General features: G+C 49.9%; 1 annotated feature.

The window, feature by feature from the left end:
• Positions 3,577-4,384: an enhancer, noted in NCBI's record as "NANOG-H3K27ac-H3K4me1 hESC enhancer chr1:151832751-151833558 (GRCh37/hg19 assembly coordinates)". NCBI's record gives its function as "activates a minimal SCP1, AML or CMV promoter by ChIP-STARR-seq in primed H9 embryonic stem cells {active_cell/tissue: H9 hESC(primed)}" and the evidence as "EXISTENCE:reporter gene assay evidence [ECO:0000049][PMID:30033119]".

Below are 6,000 nucleotides of genomic sequence, written 5' to 3' on the forward strand. Positions count from 1 at the left end.
GCACTTTGGGAGGCCAAGGCGGGTGGATCACCTGAGGTTGGGAGATCAAGACTAGCCTGACCAACATGGAGAAACCTCATCTCTACTAAAAATACAGAATTAGCCGGGCATGGTGGCGCATGCCTGTAATCCTAGCTACTTGGGAGGCTGAGGCAGGAGAATCGTTTGAAGCCAGGAGGCGGATATTGTGGTGAGCTGAGATTGCGCCATTGCACTCCAGCCTGGGCAGCAAGAGTGAAACTCTGTCTCAGAAAATATAAAGAGTCAGTAGGTGGCTGGGTGCAGTGGCTCATGCCTGTAAGTCCAGCACTTTGGGAGGCTGAGGTGGGAGGATCGCTTGAGCCCAGGAGTTCGAGACCAGCCTGGACAACATAGTGAGACCCCGACTCTACAAAAAAGAAAAAAAATTAGCTGGGTGTGGTGGTGTGTGCCTGCGGTCCCAGCTACTCAGGAGGCTGAGGCAGGAGGATCGCTTTAGCCCAGGAGTTTGAGGCTATAGTGAGCCCAGATTGTGCCACTGCACTGCAGCCTAGGTGACAGAGTGAGACCCTGTCTCAATTAAAAGAAGAAAAAAAGTTGGTAGGTGCACCTGAGAAAGGAAATTGCTGTTTCATGGGCTGAGTGCCACTTGGGAGCTGGGTTGTCACCCAGCGATTTTCCCATGGTGATCCCAGTGGGGTCTGAATCTCTTGTTGCCTCCTATGTTGGTTGTTTGACGATTTTTGGTTAAATCAACTTTCAAATATTTACATAATTATGATTATGTAACTTTTGCTCTCAGCCTTGCCACATACTACAGTTACATTTGTTTCCTGTATCACTTTATTTTCTTGAGTGGATAATTACCAAGGTTCAGCTGGATGATGTGGTCCAGAGGAAAACAGGGGAAGGGAAGGAGCTGACAACTGGTCGAGGTCAACTTTCACTTCTCTGCTAGGAGGGAAGAGCATCCAGGAGGGAGAAAATAAGAGAGACGAGGCTCTGGCGCTGTCTGTGATACTGCAGAGCAGCTCTAGTTGGATCAAGGGCATGACAGATGGAAAGAATTAGGATATCTGAGAAGAACATCCATAACTGATGGTACAACCATGGATGTGGCCCCCAATTAGGCTGGCTGGAGGAGAGTGAAGGAGGTTTCCAAGGCCATCTAGGAAAAGAAAGATTAGGATTATTGAGAAAGTGCTCCTTTCTCCCTTTCCAACTCCTCCTCCCACCATTCCACATATCTTGTGGATGCTTTCTGCAATGCAGAGCCCTTTCTGGATGTGGGTCAAGTGGTCCACTCTCCAGGGAGGTGGAAAGGTGCTCAGCTAATACTTTGAATGGGTTTTGTGACAACATGAACTTTAGCCCCAACCCTTCTCCTTCTGTATGAATTTAGCTCAGAGGAAAAAAAGAAAATTCACCTCAGAGACAAGAAAGCCCTCCTCAGGCCTGGAGTCTCTGGAGAAACAATCAGAAAAAAGAGGAAGCCAGTGCCAATTAAGCACAACTGAGAATTCCTACTGAGTTTTGGTTTAGCTTACTGCTGGCCTGGTTCCTTTCCAGTTTGGGACATGTGGGTGCATGTTGAGTTTGAAAGCTTCTCTTCCTGGGGTGTGACCTGTGCCCAGAAGCACGTTTTGGGCCTGATCTGCTTGTGGTCCACAGCAGAGCCAGCAGTGGTGTAAAGGCAAACATGTAACAGTCTGCCCTGGGGCTGGGGATAAGGTGGGGGGAGCTCTGATTTGTAGCATTTGCCCATTTCTGCATTGTAAATATTCCCATGGTGGCTGATTTCTAGCTATCCATATGAAGTCACTGTGCAGTTGGAAGGAGGTGAGCCCAATCAGCTTTTGCAAACCAGTAGGACCCGGCTCCAGCATACCACTGCATGAGCAAACTCTTTGGCTCACAGTGAAAGAGCAGGAGTGACCAAGGCCTTGGTAGGTTCAGCAGATCAGCTCTTGTTTCCAGATCTAAACTCACTCGCACTTCTCTATCTTTTGAAGTTGGAGTTTCCTTCCCTTGTAAGGCTGACTATGGAGTACTCAGTCTCCCCACCTTGTCCTCTTTGTTGCCCCACAAACAAATTCACAGGACATGTTTTGTTCAAAGACATTTACTGTTAACCACTAAGAGGAAACAGGAAGATGATTAACATTCCCAGAAATCTCCCAAATCCCTCCTTGTCTTGGGTGGCCCTGGGAGCCCTTCTCAGATCACCTTGGACATGTGCTGAGCTCCCCTGATGTGGACTGGCTGGCTCCCCATGGGATCGTGGTACTCCCAGCACGTTGGAGTGGTGCCGTCCAGGCTGATTCTCATCTGGCCATTCTGGATGAGGAAGGACCTTCTTCAGCCCCGCAGGCTTACCACAGGCAACTTCTGGAGGGCTCCCTGTCAAACTCCCACCAAGGCTGCCCTGCCCTCAGGAAAGCTGGGTTCCTTGATCTGCAGAGCTAAGGGTCAGAGGCAAGCTGGGCGGGTTCCTTGACCTGCAGAGCTAAGGGTCGGAGGCAACCTGGGCAGGAGCAGCTGTGCATAATAGGGGTGGTGGGCAGACCCAAGGGGACTTGGGGGCAAACCTGGCCTCACTCCATGTGGGAGTTACCATGATACAGGCCCAGCTGCCAGCACCTCTGCTTTTTCAAGAAAAGCTGGCACAAATCTAGACTTTTATGTGAAAACTTCTAACTTTTAGATGCTGCAGTAGTAATTTATAAAAATACTGCCTGAGCCAAACCAAATGCTTCTGACTGGATCCTGTCCTGTGGGCTGCCAGTCCTGCCCCCTGGTTGTCAGCTCATTCCCAGGCCCTCCAGGAGTCTGCTGCCTGTCTAGATCTGCTGCCCCAGATCTAGTCTCTGACTCTTCCCAGATTAGCCATTTTTTTCCTGGTTCCCTCTGGGAGGGATCCTCTTGAGATTTGTTTTACACCTGGACACCCATAGGGGACTCTTTGAAAAGGAAAGTAACTGTTACATGTTGAAACGAATGAATCAGCTGGCTTTATGGGGCCTCAGGGTTTGTGCTTCATCTGGGTTCTAAGGTTTTTGGTCTTTGCTATAGGAGAAAGGTGCCCATGGGCAGCTTTTGGGAAAGGCACAAACCCACCCTCAGACAGTCCAGGGCTGGTGAGGACTCACCACGACCAGGGAAAAGGCTGTCTTGACAAAACATGGGGCACAGGATGGGAGCTAAAATAAATGGTTGCTGAGCACTCTGCCCAGAGGAACCCTGGGAGGCTGGGCTTGAAAGGCCCCCTGGGCCATGGCACAGGGACCTTTTGCCTAGGGGAGCCACACAGCTGGTAGGCAGGTGTTGGCTGTGTGGGCAGCTGCCGGTGTGATCACAGGGCTGATGAGGGGGTCTCGGCAGGGAACAGAAACAGGAACTGTGTTGGGACTGAGGGGAAACCCGAGGCCATTCCACAAATGGAGCCCTGACCACTGCTCAACTAGAACTGAGTTCCTATTTGTGAAATGCTAAGGGGCAGTGAGGCAGGACCTCCAAGCTCAGAAAGCTGTGGTGACATCCTGAAGGGGTGTGTGTGTGTGCGCGCACACACACGTGCTGAGGTGGGGCTTAGAGGCCCTGGCCAGCCCTGTACTGCAATCCTCTCCACTTCAAATCCAGATCACAGCTTGAGAGGGGATACTTTCAAACCAGTGGGACAGCCACACAATGCCACTGGCATATCTGCTTTACCATCTTGGGGTACAAAGTAAGGCCACTTTCCTGTTAAGAAGCATATTAAATGACTGACACCCCTGACATCCTGAGCCCCTTTCTCCTCTGAGAACTCTGAAGCAGGGGTGTTTAGGTGCTTGAGTCAGCTCAATGGCCAAGCTCCTGAGGCTTCCAAGTACAGGTGATGTGGACTTCACCAGCCGCTGAGGATGCCTAGGAACCAGCCCCCTCCCTCAAGGTCAGGGACATCCCAGGGGTGGAGTGTGTTCCACACAGTATAACAGATGGCTACGGAGCAAGTCTCGTGGCCCCAGTAAGGCATTGTCCTTGCTGATAGTCACAGCAGTGGCCGGGATGAGGGTGGGGTGCAGGCAAGTCCTCCTCAGGCCCCAGGAGGCTCCTGAGGGGCTCTTGAGCACTGTCCCTGCAGGGGAGCCTCCCAAGGATCTCCCCCAGCCACCCCTACCTCTGTGCTCCCCAGACAAGGAGCCCTTTCCCTCTTTGGGCACCTTTCCCTGCCAGATCCCCCGTAGCCACGGTTCTCTACCTCCCCTCTCCCCAGTCAGTCCTCAGGCCTCTGTTCAGTCAGCGTTGGGGAGACTCCCTTTCTTCTCAGAATTCTTCCCATTTGAGCCCAGGCAGGAATAATTAGCAACTGAAAAACAGGTTCTTTTTCCCCTGGGGGCTGGTAGGGCTCTATCTTTGGGCTTCTGGAGGATGAGGGAAAACAATGACACTCCATTCTTTGAGTGCCCTGAAAAGATTGGGTCATACTAAACCAGCCTGACCATGGCCTTCCCTCATGGAAGCTGGGCTGTCTGCAAGTGTCTGGTTCTGAGGCTGTCTTCGGTTCTGTCTATGAAAACATACAAAGAATTCATCGGGAAGTCCTTTCCTTCCTATGGCTGTGGCTCCTGGCCTTCAGCAGCGCAGGGAAACTCTGGAGGTGTGGCCTTCTTGGAGGGGCACTTCTGCTGTCCACAGCTGGGCACTGGGCACATGGCATGGGCACTGGGCACATGGCATGGCCACTGTGCCTTGGTGGCTCCATCAGCTATAACCGCTCCAGTGTAGAGTTTATTGGTGCCAGGGTGAGAGAGAAAGCCTTGTGCGCTCCCCAGCACCCTCTGTTAGCCTGAGCTGGCCTGACTCCTTGGCACTGTGGGCTTTCCTCTCTGCCCCCACCTTCAGCAACTGCAGCTCCAGAGTTAACTGGCTCTTTTAGTACATGCACAGGCACATGCAGTCACCTACACTCGCATAGATACACTCACACATCCACAGATGTGGATATACATGCTCACGCACATACATGCATGCATGCATACTCACACACGTCTACACAATATACACACAAGTGCGTGCACACACTCACATACACACAAATACATGCACACTCACACACATACATAAACTTACACACATAAACACAAATGCACATACATGCACATACACACATTCACATATATATATGCTCACTCACACATTGACTCCATAATACCACACACAAGCACACACAAACCTTCCAAAGGCTGTGAAGGGAAGGAAGACTGTGTGTACGTTTCTATGTGGGGGAACCTTGGAGTGAGTTTAATAAATAGTGATGTTGATAGTTATTGCATCATGCATTGTTCATCATAAAGTTTTGCTTCTCTTTTAAAATGTAGATATTCTAGCTGGGTTGCGTGGCTCATGCCTGTAATCCCAGCACTTTGGGAGGCTGAGGCAGGAGAATTGCTTGAGCCCAGGAGTTCAAGGATCAGCCTGGGCAACATAGTGAGACCCCCATCTCTGTTACAATAAATAAATAAAATAAAGTATAAATATTCTTGTGAAGGGTCATAGTGTAAGAGTATATTACATTATTTTATTATATTACATAATAAAATCAAATTAGTTATTGTATTTTACTTCTTAGTTTAAATGGGAACCTAAAAGTAGATTTTGATAAGGAGAAGGGTGAAATGATGGCAAAGGGGACAACCCTGTATCTGAGCTTATGAAAGAGAGATTTTCCCTGGATGCATAATTTTGCCAGGTATCTCGGCCCTGAAAGGGCATGGCTGGAGCAGACAGACTGACCTCATCATAGGTGAAGCCCCACAGAACCCTCAGACTGAATCTGGAGGTGCCTCCAAGAGTCTTTGGTTCAAGTCTCTCGTAAAGAGAAGAAAACTCAAGTTCATTGAGGTTACGTGACTTGTCCATCCACACATCAAGCCTCATGGATGGCATTTCCAAAATTCATCTCAATCTGTTTTCTCCTTCACCTATCATCCACATATGAAATCCCAGGGAAGACTCTAATGTTAGGTTATGTGCCTCCTC

The sequence above is a fragment of the Homo sapiens genome, chromosome 1 (assembly GCF_000001405.40).
Source record: "Homo sapiens chromosome 1, GRCh38.p14 Primary Assembly".
Lineage (NCBI taxonomy): Eukaryota > Metazoa > Chordata > Mammalia > Primates > Hominidae > Homo > Homo sapiens.